At 53.6% G+C, this 16,113-nt stretch overlaps 1 protein-coding gene across 19 annotated transcripts in view, besides 3 other annotated features; it reads right to left on the reverse strand.

The window, feature by feature from the left end:
- Positions 11-510: an enhancer, noted in NCBI's record as "H3K4me1 hESC enhancer chr11:17514781-17515280 (GRCh37/hg19 assembly coordinates)". NCBI's record gives its function as "activates a minimal SCP1, AML or CMV promoter by ChIP-STARR-seq in primed H9 embryonic stem cells {active_cell/tissue: H9 hESC(primed)}" and the evidence as "EXISTENCE:reporter gene assay evidence [ECO:0000049][PMID:30033119]".
- Positions 677-16,113, reverse strand: part of USH1C (USH1 protein network component harmonin) — a 50,517-nt gene continuing 35,080 nt past the window's right edge. For 8 of the 19 annotated variants that reach the window (NR_123738.2, NM_001297764.2, NM_001440681.1 and 5 more), the window contains 6 exons: positions 8,716-8,757; positions 8,259-8,312; positions 7,828-7,927; positions 4,939-5,048; positions 3,535-3,590; positions 677-1,153 (listed from right to left, as the gene is read on the reverse strand). Coding sequence is in view for 18 of the 19 variants with exons in the window: in NM_001297764.2 (NP_001284693.1) it covers positions 1,141-1,153; positions 3,535-3,590; positions 4,939-5,048; positions 7,828-7,927; positions 8,259-8,312; positions 8,716-8,757 (375 nt within the window). In the remaining variant the exon portion in view is untranslated. Of the gene's footprint in view, positions 1,154-1,189; positions 2,455-3,534; positions 3,591-4,295; positions 4,392-4,938; positions 5,049-7,827; positions 7,928-8,258; positions 8,313-8,715; positions 8,758-11,423; positions 16,007-16,113 lie in introns of those variants that run through there. The other 11 variants (XM_017017073.1, XM_017017074.1, XM_017017072.1 and 8 more) reach the window with 8 other exon arrangements.
- Positions 1,782-2,282: an enhancer, noted in NCBI's record as "H3K4me1 hESC enhancer chr11:17516552-17517052 (GRCh37/hg19 assembly coordinates)". NCBI's record gives its function as "activates a minimal SCP1, AML or CMV promoter by ChIP-STARR-seq in primed H9 embryonic stem cells {active_cell/tissue: H9 hESC(primed)}" and the evidence as "EXISTENCE:reporter gene assay evidence [ECO:0000049][PMID:30033119]".
- Positions 2,283-2,783: an enhancer, noted in NCBI's record as "H3K4me1 hESC enhancer chr11:17517053-17517553 (GRCh37/hg19 assembly coordinates)". NCBI's record gives its function as "activates a minimal SCP1, AML or CMV promoter by ChIP-STARR-seq in primed H9 embryonic stem cells {active_cell/tissue: H9 hESC(primed)}" and the evidence as "EXISTENCE:reporter gene assay evidence [ECO:0000049][PMID:30033119]".

Raw genomic sequence — 16,113 nt, forward strand, 5'->3', positions numbered from 1 at the left:
CCTGTGACTGGTCCCTAACCCAAGGGTCGCCCGCTCAGGTGATTTGGCCTGATCAGATTGTACCACAGGAATTTGGAATGGGGAAACAGAGACGGGGTCAGGCGAGTCGTGCTGATACAGCCCCACCCTCTTCCTCAGAGCTAGCAGCCCTGGTCCCTGTCACCAGAAGAACTGTGACATTCCCCCTGCTGGGCCCCCGGAGTTATGCCTTCCTGCCTCAAGCCCTTGCATTTCCCATGAGCTTCTGTGGGATGTGCTTCCACGGAGGGAGTGGACCCTGCCATCTTCCTCCCTCACATGCTGTCGTGGTGACCTCAGGAGAAGCATTGGTGGCTGTGTCGTTCTTGAAAGAAGCTGGGCACCCCATATCATGAGGTGACCCTTCGGGGCTCCTGCCTTCAGCTCTGCTTTCTGGAATTGAGCAAAATCCCTGCCACACAGACTTCATCTCCTACCATCTCTGCTGAGAAGACATTGAAGCCCAGCCCAGCCCATCTCCTGCTTTCTCAACCTCTGCTCCAAGCCAGCCCTGGCCATTTGATCACACCCTTCATGTCAGACCCAGATCACAGCACTGGGATCTGTCTATCACCCTTGAATAGGGGCCACAAACCTTATGGTTTTTTGATTTGCAGCCTTGAATCTGCTGCCCAAATCCACACTCACTCCTATAAGCTGGAAAATAAATCTATTTTATTAATGAGCTCAGAGTAAGGTTTGGAGTGACAATCCTGGCAGCAATTAGAGCAGAGGGCAGAGGAGAGGGATGGAGAGAGAGAGACTCCAGTGGGGTCTTATTAGGGTTCAAGGAAGGAGTCCCCCAGAGCTGGGAGAGACCAAATTCACTGGGCCAGAGGAAAGGAATGAGAGTCTGGATCCTTGAGATCTTCTCCCAAATGGCTGGCTGCTCCCTTTCCTCCACGTTGGCCTTCAGAAGAGTGGCCCGAGCTGTTCCTTATCTGGCCCTGGTTCAGGGCCAAAGGGAGTTTGAGATTCCTGGGTGATAGATTCAGGTCCCAAGGATGCCATCTGGTGTGTGTAGTGTGGCCTCTCTCAAGGCTGATCCGAGGCTTTGTGTTCACGAGGTGGGGCCGGAGCTCACTGTTTCCTAACGGTGAATTTGGTTTCCCCTTTTGGACTTCAGAAGAAGGTCCTGCAGGGAAGTGGAAACAGCCCAGGTGGATACAGGCTTTGTGGGTGCACACTCAGCCCAGCCAGAGCAAGGCCCCACAAGGGGGAGTACCCACTCTGGCAGCACAAGGCCCTGCCACCCTTTGGAGACCCCTCTGGGTGCAGGCCCCAAGTGGCTACACACCAGCCACAGCCACAGCACACAGGAGGCCAGGGAGAAAGCGGGAGGGACACCTGGGATGGGGGAAGGAGGAGACTGGGAGGAACAGGGGCAAGAGTCCTTTGCAAAAGGCAAGTAACAGAAAACATAGGGCCATGCAGGCCACCCCAGAAGCCATGGTCTACCCGGCCAAGTGTCTTGGGAGCATGAGGCCCTAATGTTTTGGGAAAGTTGTAACAGAAAAGTCAAGTCCAGGCTTGGGTCTGCCCCAGATGCTGCCATCTGTGGCTTCAGGCCACACCAAACACCAGTTTCACAGCCACCTGCCAGCTCTGTCCACGGGCACATCCCTATCACAGGGTGAGAAACACATCCTACAGCTGGGTTCCACGGTATATCCCACAGATAGAGCCCAGAGCCAAGGAAGGGAGAAGGCAGAGAAGACCGTTTGGTCTAAGCACGGCTCAGGCCATGACAGGGCACAACAGGACATGAGCAACTCTAATCCACCAACCCTGGTTCTTTGGACCAGCCTTCAAAACCTCTTAATAGCCCTGGTTCTGGCCAAGTGTGGGGGCCATGGTGGAGCAAGAGCTCCCAGGAGGTTGGCATTCACAGGAAGGGGAATTTTCACATTCTGTTGAGGACATCTCTTGGGGGCAATTCCAGCCAGGCTTCCTGTGGGCTCCTTCAGCCCCACATGCCTGGTTCGAGGCATTGTCTGTGTCCCTCAGAGAATGTTGCCCAGGGCTTCATCCTGCTCATTTGGGTGCTGCTTGGGACCCAAAGCAGGTCCCAGGGCCGTGATGAGTCAGGACACCTGGGTCCCAAGCAAGTACTACAGACTGGGCTTTGCACCACTTCCCTGAGGGGAGGGCTTTGAGTCTGAGGAATTCCACTGTGGCCAACAGCAGGCCCCAGGCAGCACTTCAGGGATGGCGCCTTGTGTACCCTCCAGACGCCAGTCCAAAGAACCTGCTGACAGCGTGGGCAGCAGATGGCCACTGCAAGCAGCAGGGACACACAGGGCCCTGTGGCCCGCCTGCCTATTCACCGTGGGCTCCAGCTGCAGGAGGAACCCGTGTCTGTGCACGGCAGCACGGTCTTCAAGGAGCTTTCGGACCGGTTGGGGGCTTTCAGCTACGGAGGAGGGAAGAGAAGCTCTATATATACAGAGCAGAGCAAGAAACACAAAACAGGCTTGGTTACTCCCAGGCAGAGCTCCATGGGGCTTCTCCTTTCACTGGGCTCCTGCCTCGGGTTCTGCCTAGCCCCTGGGTTCCAGAATTAGGAGCTGCGAGACCCTGGTTTCTCCAAGACATGTGTAGAGCTCAGATTCTGCTGGGCACGGGGAGCAAGCAGGCCCAGCCACGACAGGGAGGCAGGGCATGGTCAGTGAGTGGGTGAGTGGTGGGTGGGTGAGGGCTGGGGAGGTGATGGGATGAGGTGAGGATGGAGGTGAGACACCACACAGAGGCAGAGAAACAGAGAAAGGCAGACAAAGAGGTAAGAATGGATGCAGAATGACAAGGACAGAGGAACAGGGACTCAGAGACAGGGATGAAGAGAAACAGGAAGAAAGAATAGGAGACAGTGAGAGAGAAAGGGGACCGGGATGAAGGGGAAGGAGGGGGGCAGATAAGATGTTGACAGGAAGGAAGGAAAGGGTGAAAGAAAGACAGAGAGGGAGGAGGAGAGAAGACAGAGAGACCCACAGGACACAAGAGACAGACACACAGGGAATCACAGAGAGAGACAGTCTAGGCCAAAGCTCCCTGGAGATCCCACAGCGTGGGGACAAAAGCCTGTGGTCCCGGCTGCCTAGAGGCACAGTATGAGTGAATGCAGTTAGACATCAGGAAGACCTTCCAGAGAGTGAAGGATGGACACAGACACCTTCTAACCATCTAATAATGGGGCAGGGGATAAAGTTCTGAGTGGGGAATTAACAATCCTGAGTCTTTTTCCCAACGTCTCTGCTTACCCGGTCTAAGACCTCATGCCTCAATTCCCCATAGTAGAGAAGAATTTGGACAAGACTGCCCGGGAGGCAGCTCAGACACTGCTTAAGGACAATGACTTGGCTCTAGTCCAGGAGTTTTCTAGGAGCTCTGGCTATGAGAAGCTGCGTGCTTGGGCCATTCCTTCAGGCTGGGAGAAGGCTGGGGATGGGCTGGAGAAAGGTGGCTGAGATTCTGGAGAAGGAAGAAGAGGTCTCAGGCTAGGTGCTTGCACACACTTACAGCTCATCGTCATACTCCTTTGGGGGGCAGACGGCAACCACAAGGTCGATCCAGTCCTGTGGGGAGAAGCCGTGTGACTCTGGGGCACACTCAGTTGGATGGTGCATCTGCCCCGGCACTCCATCCCCATTTCTGGGCCCCATGGCCTAGGATCAGCCAGGCTGCACCTTCTTCCCACGGGCCCACCTGGGGCCCACTGTGACTTCCATGGTCTGAGGACGTTTCTAGTCTCTGAGGCTTCGGGACCATAGAGGACAGGGCTGCAAGGCCCTTGAATGACACTCAGCTCCCAAATGTCAATCTATGGACCGGGGACAGGCAGCAACCTCAGAATCACTTGGGGGAACTTCTTAAAAGTGTAGGCTCGTAGACTTGGCCCCCAGAAGTCAAGGGTGAGTCCTGGGAAATAGTACTTTTAACAACCTCTCTGGGTAATTCCGACGCACTTTCTGATGCACAATCAAGTGGGGGACTTCTGGCCCAGCTTTTTGATCCTAACACCTGAATCCCTTTTACTGCCATCCTTGACTTGCCCCTCATTCTCCCTCCTTGGCTTAGGTGTATCCCCTGAAAAGTATTGGAAATATCACTGGGCCCCTCTACCATGAGCTGGTTCCTAATATTGAGCTGAAATCTCTCTCTCTTTCCCCAGGACTTCCCTCCATCCAATCCAGGTCTTCCCTCAAGAATCAGAGAGAACACTTCTGCTCCCTCTGCCCTAATGCAGACCTTCAGATAATCAAAGATAGTCATCATGTTACCCGTGAGTCTTCTCTTCTCCACATCCCTTCATGTGGGTCCCAGGCCCATCTGGTCAGCTTCCTCGGCACTGAACTTAATACCTCAGGCTCGGCTGCCTGCATACAGTTGCACAGGTTGTGCATTGCACACCATGAGCAGGCACCATTCACACTACAGTCTGTAAAAGGGCACCCCCTCAGATTATGTAGTGCACAGCCTGGGCAATCTTATGCAGTGGCCGTGATCCAGGTGGGTGTCTAATGAGTGCAGAGCAGATTCCCACCAGCCCCTCCTTCATCCTGGGTTCTCTGCTTTTGTTAATGCTTTCTGGTAGCCCCCAGAATTCTCTTGATTCTTGTTCAGTGTGCACTTAGAAAAGACCTTAAGTCTTTTTCTTGGGTGACCTGCCATGCCCTGGCTTCAAGAGTCTGTTTAAGCCACTGGCTTTTTGGATCCAAGGTCAGGAATTGACATCTATTTTTCTGAATCCCATCTTGTCAGATTTAAACCACAGGCTGGATGGGGTATGGTGTCACCAAAGTGTTGCCTGGACTCCAGATGCCCACCCTGGAATGAGGCATCCTATTGTGAGACCTGGCTGCAGAGGCCAGGGTTTGAGGCAGGCAGGTGAGGGAGGAAAGGAGGGAGGGGCCTTATTCTTACCCCGCCCTGATTCCAGGCCTTCTGCAGGGCAGCCTCAGCCTCAGCCAGGGTGTAGTCTGTCACAATCTTGCCGTTGATTGCCATGATCTCGTCCCCTTTCACAATGCCACCTGCAGGCAGATGAGGCTGATTGGCCAACTGGGCTGTATGTGACACGTGCCTGGCCCAGGGCTTGGCAAAGGGGGGTCATTGCCAGACAGCAGAAGAGACCTGAGCCTGGGTTCTGAAAGCTCATGTGGACTCAGAAAGCATGAGGGGAAACTAGCCACCTGGTTAGTGGCTAGTCAAAGGGCATTTAGTCCCTGTCCCTTCCACACCCCCTCACCCCAGCTCAGGAGAACCTGGATATCATTGATGATGAGCCTCTGTTATTACAGAGGGACACAGACCTGCATTTCCAGCACAGTATGAGGCCTGAGTCAATTCTGCCAGCCGGCCCTCCCTGTTGCCAGTCATGCTGGTCTGTTCAGGTCCCTGAGCTGCCATGCTCTCTCCTGCCTCAGAGGCTTCATGTCGCTGTTCCCTACCTTGCTTTCTCTTCTTCTAGGTCTGAGAGGAAATGTCAGAAGGGGCTTCTCTGACCCCCGCTCAGTCGAATGTAGATCTTGCCTATTCTCTCACAGCATCCCAATCTTTTCTTATTTGGCATTTTCCACAATTCGTAATCATTAATCTGTTTGTTTACTGATGGTCTCTCCCACCACACTGTCAGCTCCACGTGGGCAGGGATTGTCTTTTTGGTTCACCATAATATCCCCAGCACTTAACATAATGCCTGACACAAAATAGGACCTCAGTAGATATTTGTTGAATAAATGAAGCTGTAATAAGGTGCTCCTGAAAGAGTTGCCTGGGATCTAATAATTTTGGGGAAAGCTGAGTTATAAGCTGAACAGAGCTACTCACTGCAGGATTTGTCAGTCTTGAATGTGCTAACATGCACTGCAGCTTTCCAAGAGGTAGACAGATTGTGCGTGGTTTTCCACACCTCTTTGACATCAGAGCCCTTTTTGGAGGAATTTCTCCCAGTCCTGATGTCCACAGAACACTCTCCAGGTTACATTGAAATAGATCACCCAGGAGCCTTGTGGCATGAAGGCCCATAGGAATGTGGTGTATGATACTGACAATGGTGGCCATGGTGGCTTAAAACACACGTGCTCCTAGGGAAGCTTCATCAGTGACTAGTTATGTTCAAAGCAGTGCAGGACCAAACCACAGAAAGCAGTTGCCTCTGTGCAGTGCAACTGGGGATGGGTGACTTTCACCTTTTCATTTTGTACAAATCCATGACAGAGTCTCAGGGGCAATAAGGCAGTGGTTGGGTTGGGGCTTTGTAAGTGGGAAGGACCCAGGAGAGTCACCCATCCATCCTGGTCCCCTCTCTCTGCTAGACACAGCAGGCAGGTATCACAGAAGTGTCACCAGGTGACAGAGAAATGAAGACAGAAGAAGAAGGTGGGGCCTGGGTGGGCACTGATGGGCTGGGGCAGCTGCCCAGCTGGGCAGGTCCCCCTTCTATGGCTGAAATGAAAGCTTAAAGTGTGAAGTCACCAAGGTCATGGGTGCAGAGCTGGACTTGTATCCAGGGCTCCCAATGCCCATACCTCACCTTAGTAACCCACAGAGGTCTGGTTGCCAGCCCCCAAGGGCCTTTCCCATCCCTGTTTCCTGCCCCTTACCTCTTACCACCTCCATTCTACCACCTCCAGCTTATGGTACAGCCTGGCTCCAGCCTAGGACTGCCTGGAAGGGATCTGCTCATAGGGTCCCCCACTCTGGCCTGGGAAGGTAAGAGGCCTGGGGCTCCTCCTCCAAGGGCACCTACATCTCCACAAAGGGCCACAAAGGACTCAGGAGCTTCCTTGACATGGAAGAAGAAATCACCAATGGTGGGGTTTCAGACACTGTCCGACAGGTGAACGGGGTGATGGTTTGAAGCAAGAGACTGTGCCTGGGGTCTGCAAAGGTTTCACTCATCAGCAGAGGGTGTTTTTGTAGATAAGGGGATAAAGAACAAGGCAAAATGAGAAGAGAGACACAGGGTATGGGGGCCTCTGGCCCTCTGGGAAGGGACAAGGCTGCAGAAGACCTCAGACAGAGGTGGCACTTGTGCCGGACAGTAAAGCAAAATGACCAAACTGCCTGGATTCAAGTCCTGCCTCCACCTTCTCCTGGCTGTGGGTCCTTGAACAAATACTTTAACCTCTCTGAGCCTCAGTTTCCTCAGCTGTAAAATAAGAATAATAACAGAACCTGCTTTCAGGGTTGTTGTGAGGATTAAGTGAGTTAATATCCATGAAACGCTCAGACACAGGGCTGCAAACCAGATGAATAGCTTCTGGCACATGGCTAGTTCTGGCCAAACGTTCGGCTCCTACCATCACTGAAAGGACAGGCAAGGTTTCGGGGGTTTCCACGTGCTGCTCCTCTTCCTCGAAAGCCCTTTCTCCCCTTCGCGAGGCTGACATTGACTATGCTCAGCTCAGGGTTCGCCCCTCTGAGGAGCACTCCTGGCCTCCCATCTCCTCTTGGTGGGTTAGAGGCCCCTCAGGGTTCCCATGGCTTCCCTCCACTCTGAGTTCCCCGTCAGCCCTTAGCAGACCATGCTGTGACTTTCAGTATCTGGCAATTCTGAGTCCGTCTCCCACCCTGGCTGGGGACCCCCTGAGGGCACGGTGGCATCTGGCTTGGCTGTGTACTCACAGGTCCCGGCGCCATCCCATGCCCCCAGGGATTGGACAGGCAGTCGGATGGATGGACCCGAGTGGGAGGGCATTCTCCAGCAACCGTCAGCCCACTCCAAGTGGTCACCTGTTTGCTTTCCGGGAGGGCCCCGTCTAACCACTGTATCATCCCCAAACCTGGGTGTGGCTAGTCTCCACTCACCATGCCGCTCAGCAGCTCCCCGCTCATACACAGCAGAAACGACCACCTTCCCAATGGGGGAGTCCACACCGCCTTCCAGGGCCAGGTCTAAGGATCCCTCCTGGTTAGAGGAAAACAGGCCTTAGGGAGCCAAGCAGACAGCAGCCTGTGGACACCTGGGCACCAAGGAGTCTCTTGACAGAGCCACAGTAAGAGTGGAAGAAGCCATGGGGTCACCGGCAGTGCCATCTGGAGAAAACGCAGCCTTGGTGCCAAGTGGGGCCTGGGTATGCGGCCCTACAACAGAGGGGCGTCTCCGTGGGAGAGGGGAGGACAGTGGGGACCTGAGAGACCACCCAGGAGTGACCTTGAGAGTAGAGGCAGGAGACCAAGGGAGGAGGGGCAGGCACAGAGAGGGATGGCGGCCCACCGGCCTCCACATGCCCAGGTACCTTCTTGATGCGTAGGAGCCGGACATCCTTCCCCATGATCTGCTCTGGGGTGAACTAGAGAGAAAAAGACAGTGGGAAGCTTTGAGCTGGCCTGAAGGATGGCGCTTGGGGTAGGGCTGGAAGGGGAATCCAGGCACCTATGGGACACTGGGCCCCACAGAGCACATGGGCAAGGGGACCGTGCCCAGCCCCACCCCTACTGGTCTTCAACTGGGGGTCCCAGGCCCCATGGGGACAGTGGACACACACACGTGCATGTGCACCATACAGTTCACACTGGAGTGCCCTTTGGAAGGAATCTTCGTGGGAAGAGCAGCTGGGGCATCACTGGGGCTCCTCTGTGCCCCACCTCATCCCAGGACCCCAAGGCCCAGAATGCACCACTATCAAACCCTCTAACCCCCACACTGCCCTGTTCCTGGGGTTACTTGTCCAGGAGAGAAGCGTCATCTCTTACCATAGAGTAGGGGTCAAAGCCTTCCTCATATTTCCGGAAATCCTGGAAGCAAAGGGAGGGCTTTAGGGCAACACAGCAGAGGGTCTTGAGGGTCAGAGCCGAGGAGTAGGGGGATGAATGGTCGGAATCCAAGGGTCAGAAGTGAGGGGTAGGGCGGGAGAAGGCACGGCCAGGGTACGGGATGCAGACAGGAGGCCGGCAGCCCTAGCAGCCAGGGCACCCCTGTTCAGGGACAAGCAGGAGGCTGAGGAAGACTTTAGAGGATCTTGACCCTGCCCTGCTTCAGCGGCACAAGCGTCAGGGGCTGCAGGGGCACCAGTGACGTCTAGATGGTCTGGAGAGGCGGCATCTGCCTTGCTGAAAGTCTCAGCCCCAGCCTCAAGTCCTTTAGGCCCCACCTCATCTCTTCCAAGTCTCCACTGGAGCAGGCCCAGGCCCTGGGGGATGAAGCCCAAGGTGTCTCCACCCAGTGCTCTGACCCCACAGGAGGGGCCCATCCAGCTCAAGAGAAGGCTGTTCCTGGAAATCAGCCACAAGATGGTGGAGGGAGCCCACGGACAACAAGAAGAAAGCAGGTGGTGTTGAGAAGCAGTGTTGGCCTGGAGCCTGGCAGTGTCCTCATGTAATGCTTACCTAGAAGGTAAGAGGCCTCCCCAGATTCTGCGGAGCGCAGGTTGGCCCTTTAGCTAGGGGAGAAGGGAGGACACACAGCTCAGGGGACCTGGCTTGATGGGGGATGCTGTGGGGACAATGGCTCCAGGGTGTAGAAACAAGACAGTGAGGTGGCACCTGAACACACAGTGAGGTAGTCCCTGAACTATGTGGCCTTCCTCGGGAGTCACACACAGTGAGTGGGAGCCAGGGGCATCCCCAGGCTGAGGGGCCAGGATGCTAAGCACAAGGGCAGCAGAGCCACGGCTGGTCCCCATGGAAGGTGGGAGCAGAGGAGAGCCCCGTGGCAGGCCTCGCCAGACTGAGTGGAGCCACCCACAGCATGCAGGTCCCTAGACCACACCAAGTGACCCATGGGGCCCATGGTCTGTGTGGTGGGGAGGCTACAGATTCCCCTATCCTCAGAATGCACCAACTAGGTTCCGGGCACAAGATGAGCACCAAATATCAGCAGACAGATCCCCAAGCATCTGCCTGGCATCCCTCCTCACTTGCCTCAATCACCCAGGCTCAACCCCAAGAGGCCATGAGCTCGGCTCAGCTTGGGAGCTACATCCAGGTCAGTGTGTGGGCAGCAGACAGAGGAGGGGGTGCAGTGAATGCACAGGCAAGAAGGATCATTGGGCAGGATGTGGAGTCGATGCTCTTTGACTTTGAGGGCCCTGCCTACTCCGGCTGTTTCTCCTGGAAGGCTGGGCAGTGCTGGCTCTGGCCTCCTTGCTCCATGATCCTGAGAACCAGCTCTCAGGGATGGGCCAGATGGCAGGTACTTGTGTTTTGTGTGAATTTAGATCAGAGACTCATAAGCCACTGCAGCTGGTTGGCCCTTAAAGAGGCAGCCCAACCCCTCATTCAACAGAGGAAGAAACTGAGGCCCAGAGAGGTGATATTCACGCCCAAGGTCACCCAGTCAGTGGGCAGGGGAGCAAGGGTTTGACTCCACCTCTGGAGCCTAGACTCTGCACTTCCCTGCTTCTCTCCCTGTGAGGGCTGTTTGTGCCCTAAACCGCCAGGTCCTGGAAGGCCTCTTGTGTGACGACAGTGCTTTAAGGCAGGATGGTGCAGTGTTTAAGAGCACAGGCTGCAGAGACCGACCTCCTGGATTCAAATCCAGGGATTGACATTAGCTGTGCCATCGTGGGCACATTTTCAAATCTCTCTGCCTCAGTTTCTCATAGATAAAATGGGTATGATAATAGCACTTACCACCCAGGGTTGCTGGAAAGATTAAATTGACAAATCCTTGGGCTGGGAGCAGCCTCTTTTGCCAACACCTATGTCTCACTGCACAGTTGATACTGCCCCTCTGCTCCCTGCCTGTAGTCAAATCAGCTTGTGGTCTGTTGGTGGGTTATCAGTGAGGAGGCTGGAGAAGCCTGGGCTGGCTGCAAGATCTCTCTCTGTCCTGGGGTTTCTTTCATTGGTGATGAAACAGCCAATCCAATGGTTGGCTCCATGGAGGTACCCCAGGAGGCAGGGAGGTAGGTGGCTGCCTGCCTGATGCCACTCAGAGGACCAGCAAGGACTTCCACGTCCCTGTGCACAGGAGTGCCCTAGGCACAGGGAGGACCTCAGCCACCACCTCCTCCCTGACGCTGGTTCAGTGTCAGGCAGGGTTGGTGAAGCTGTGATCTGCCCGGAGAAGAAGAGGGGAAGGTACAGGGAGACACCTAAGCAGCCCCTTCCCTCTCTCCTAGGGCTGGAGCGAGGGCCCATCTTGGCCTCTGTGGGCCTCTGAGGGTTCCTTCTGCCCTGCTCCTCTCTGGACAAACAGCAGCAGAAGAGGTGAGTTCCCAGGGATACTGCTGTTTCTCAGCTCATGCATGGGGTCTAATAAGCCCTGGGTCCCCATCTGATATGATATCCTCCCCCACCCCTGCGCAGGCAATGGAGGACACAGCTCTGGCCTGAGGCTTGGTGGCAGATGGGGCCACCATGGACCTGACCAGGTACTCCCAGAGAGAAAGAAGTGGCACAGAGTGGGAGGGACGGGGGTGGTGGGGAGACCTCCAGACACACAATGGGTATCAGTTTACTTGTCTGAATGCTGTCTGATAAACCACCATCCTCTTCAACATCTCCTGTGGCTGCCAGAGGAAAAAAAAAAAAGTTCCACATTGGATGTTACCAATAGGTCTTGGCTGCCCCCTGGTGCCAGGCTTCGGGCCTGCCAGTCTGGGGCTGCCGTGCCAATGTCCCTCCCCGAGCAGTCTGGCTTACGTTAAAGGCCTGCTCAATGCCCAAAGATGCTACCCAGTTGTTGTCAAGCAGACACCACCCCTTGATATTAGCCAGAGAACATGACATGGATGCATCCGCAGGCTGTCCCAGGAGCAAAAACTTTGCTCTCTGGGGAGCTGACGGGACAGTTAAGGCCCAAAATAAATATCTCAGCTGTCCTGCCCTGACATTTGGATAGAGTTTCCTTGAAAGGGAAGTTAAAATTCTGACATGACTGTCTTCTCACTGTGCATGGGAGGCCAGCCAGTGGTCGGCACCTCTGGGAGGTGCACACGAATCCCAGCTCCCTTAGCCGTCAGTAACTGAGACTGGCGGACATTTCTCACTTCCCCAGGACCACACCTCAGACTTCCAGTCACAGTGAGAGGTGAGAAGTAAGTTGGAGAAAGGGAGTGAACCTGCTCTGGCCAGTTTCCCATCTGAGGGTGTTTCATGCCAGGCCACAACAGGCCTTAGGGCAGGGGCCAGGGCACCTGGAATCTCTGTAGGTTTTGGCAAGATGGCAACGAGGGTAACAGCGTGGGCTTTGGAGTATGAAAGGCATGAGGGTAAGTATTAAGTCCAGGCTCTGCCTGGGGAACCTGGTGCCCCTCTGGTAACCTCTCTAAACCTCCCTTTCCTCGAGTGTTAAACAGGATGACCACAGGAACCATCTCACAGTCCTGCTGTGAAGATTAATTGAGGCCATGCAGAGCCTGGTATATAGTAGGCTCTTCACAGGTCGTAGCGATCATTATTACTTTTAGACAGAGCTCCAGGCTGTTCAGTCAAGTGGGGAACAGAAATTCCACTGGTCATGTCAACATCCACTTACACCCATGTGGCCTCATCTCTTGGCCAATAAGAAGGTTAAGAGATGGCATCTGTGATCTGCATTTTTGTCCCACCTCACTTGCCCTCCAGAGACAGCAGAGCCCAGGGGAGGTAGCCCTGGTCTGCTCCTCTAGAGACAACCTGGAGGGGACCCAAGGGGCTTACCAGAACTTCAGATTTCACAGCTGGCCTGTAGATGAAATTGGGCTCCTGGTGGACCATGACAGGTTTGGAGATGGTGGACACGCCAGGGCCTCGTGGAGGCTGTGGGCTTGGGCAAAATGTCTAAGGAGTTAGTTTAACAGGGACCCAGGTGAGGTCATGGTGGGGTGGCCAAGGCCAGCCATGCTACTTCTACACACATGCAAATCTACACCCATGCATATGTGAAGCCAGCCTGGTCATTCAACTGCTCGAGGTCCTGGGGTTGTGATCCTCAGCAGAGAGATGAGAAGCCCATTGGCCACAGTGTGGGCTGAGATCACAGAAACTACTGAGCGGCTCTAAGAAATTGGACGCTTGAGCTAGAGCCTGGCTTGGGGGTGCCAGCAGCCAGTGTCACCCAGGAGACACACTTTCAGACCCTTCTCTCAGTGGCCATGGGTGCTATCCAGTGTCCCTTGTCTTTAAGGGCTGTCTCTTTGGCCACAGTTCCAGTCCCTGGACCACAGTGTGAAGCATCTGCTGTTCCTAGTTGGTAGGCACATAGTCTCTAGGGGCCATGGGGTGAAGACCAGTAAGAGAGGCATCCAGGGGAGCTGACGCAACCTGTCTGCTTGGCTCTAACCCACTTGATCTTTTTGGGCAAGATGTATCAAATCAGTTCACAGCCCTGCCCCCAAACCCTCCCCAGTGTCCGCATTGACTACTGAGCTCATTGGCTTGACTCCCAAGGCCTTTCATGAGCTTCTCTAGCTTCCTTTTCAGCCTTATCTCTCACTCCTCGCCACGCTCCTCACACTGCCTAGCTTTAGCCTCAAAAAATGCCAGGCTTTCTTGCCTTGAGGCCTTTGCACGTGCTCTTCCTTCTTCCGCTTTGCCTCCTAGGTCTTAAGTTGGGCGTCACTGCCTTCTGGAAGCCTCCCTTGAGCTTTTCCTCTACTCCAGCCCTCTTCCTTATTATAGCACCTGTGCTTCCTCCGTCTCCACGCTGATGGTGTGGCGGGTGCCTACTTTTCTTTGTTCCCCACCAGACTGTCTTGAGAAGGGAGACTGCAGCTGTCTATCCAGCAGGGATTCCCAGTGCCCTGCATAGTGCCTTGGCATATAGTAGGTGCTCAATAAGCATGTGTTGAATGAATAAATGAATGACTAAATAGTATGGTGAGAACATGGGACAGTGCCTGTGGATAGATCTGGCCCTGAAAACCCCCCTATGGCCGGTGCTGGTGTGGCAGGCACAAGTGTCAAGCCAACACAGGTGTTTGTTTCCATGACTTGGGGCCTGCTGGTGGCTGGGCTGACTGTGTGGGCGTGTGGTCACTCACACTTCCTGCTGCAGCACTGATGACAGCTTGCCAGGGGCATGCAGGGAGGAGGAGGGTGGGTGGTACAAGGGTGAGAGGTGGGCCAAATGAAGCCAACCAAGCAACAGCCCCCTGGCTTTTGAGGCTGGGACAACCCTGGCTTTGATGTCGCTTGTGACATTTATAGTCCAGTTCTTCAGAGGCTCCTTGTGTTGGGGGGCTTTTAACCTTCCCTGGGCTCTGATCAGGAACTAACAGTGGGAACTTGGTGATGCCTTGAAGAATCTGAGAAGTCTGGACTCTGTCTTGAATCTTGATCCTGACTCAAAGTTTTGCTGACACTGAGATTGCTAAGATCCCAGGTTTGCAGCTTCACCCAAATTTTCTTTTACTCTGGACTATCAATAACCATAGTTAATGTCTACTGAACATCCACGATGTGCCTGCCACTCTTGCCATTCTTAACTTAGAATGTGTCCATGTATTAACTTATTTGATTCGAATAGGTAGCTGCCATTAGCATTCCTATTTTTGGACAGGGATGCCCAGGCTCAGATAGATGAAGTAGCATGTGTTCAGTTACCTAGCTAGTAAGTGGCACAGCCAGGATTCAAACCCAGGCAGGCCAACTCCCTGCTACTCCAACTTGCCATCTTTATGTTCCCTGCACTTGCAATGCCCTTGCTCCCATCCTCCATGTGTTGCCATCCCTCAAGGCTCAGCTCGTAAGCCCTCTACTCTACAGAGGTGTCTTCAATCTTCAGTTAGAATGAATCCCTCCCATAGCGCATGGCTTATGCATATTTTATAGCAGAAGCCTGCCTGGGCAGCAGCTCATCCTTCAGATGGCAAAGTCCTGGAAAGCACAGGCATGTCAATCTCCTCTGCATCCTCTTCAGCACTGCTCCCCTCTCCCCTTCACAGAGAGAGGCCCCAGGCAGGTACTCAATCAAAGTGGAATCAAATTTGTTGAGGAAAAGCTACTGCTCATCTTGATGGAGGCCACTTACAGAGAAAAATGTTGTGCAAGGCTAACTCAGCTCTAGAAACCAGCTCCTGGCTGGGCTCTGGGGAAAGATGTCCCGAGAACAGGCAGATTTCTTCCTGTCAAAGCTGCAGGGCTCACGACCCCAACCAGAGGTCCAGAAAGGGTCCCTCTGAGAGTCTCCCGCTGGAAGCTTCAGCCTTGCTGGCATCTGGCACTTTCTTCACTCCCACCTTCCTTGTAAGCTCTCCTGAGTGCTCTGAGATGCTTGTCCTGCTCTCCACGCAGGAACTCAAATCCATGCAGGGAAGGTTAATAAAAACCACTGGTCAGGTGCTATTGACTATGCCCTCCCTCAGCAACCCCTGCTACCCTCAGCTGACATGAGATGCCTTTGCACTGACTCAAGCCTGGCCTCATGGCTACGGGAGTGGAATAATATTTTGTTTTTCCCTTCATGGGATCCAAGCTCCCTGTCTTCCTCAGAGATTGCATGTTTCAAAATAGTCTTTGGATTACGAATAATTAATAAGAAATATGTCTTTTTCAGAAAGACACTGTTCATCTTCCTAACATCCAAGAAAAACATTCCTATTCTTTTAATAGTAAATTATTTCTAGGAACTCTCTCATCTTCATTTTTTCTATAGCTGGAAATTGGCCAGAAATTTCTGGGTATTACACTTCAAGCCAGTGCAGTTGGCCAGTACTGTAGAAAATGGCACTGGAATGTCCTAATACTGCATTTGATGGTACAGTGTTATCACTTCATTTACAGAGCCAAATACGCCCCTGCTTCCTCCTCCCCTCCCTTTTTTTCCCGTTAAATCAGGAGCCATTTCCCATATTCAAGGCTTTCTGGGATAATATCAGGAAGTGACTGGATGTGACAGAGTGCTGGCTATTCATTAACATAGACTTCCAAGTCCTACATTGAAAGTTACCAGCCTACACTAGCAAAGAAGAGCTAAGAGAGAGCAATGAATATCAAATGGACACACCGTTGCTTACCCCAAAGGTCCCAGGCCATTCACCATACAATACAGCACTTCAAAATCAGTGAGAACCACCATATACATGCAGGATGTCCACACATGCACACGGAGGGGGCATTCCTGGAAAATGGGGTGAGATGATGTTTCTTTCTGTCTCCACTCTCAGGAGCAGTGGAGGACATGGGAAACAGCAGTTCTCCCCACTCTTCCTACTTCCAAACATAGCA

The sequence above is a fragment of the Homo sapiens genome, chromosome 11 (genome assembly GCF_000001405.40).
Source record: "Homo sapiens chromosome 11, GRCh38.p14 Primary Assembly".
NCBI classification, from domain to species: Eukaryota; Metazoa; Chordata; class Mammalia; order Primates; family Hominidae; genus Homo; species Homo sapiens.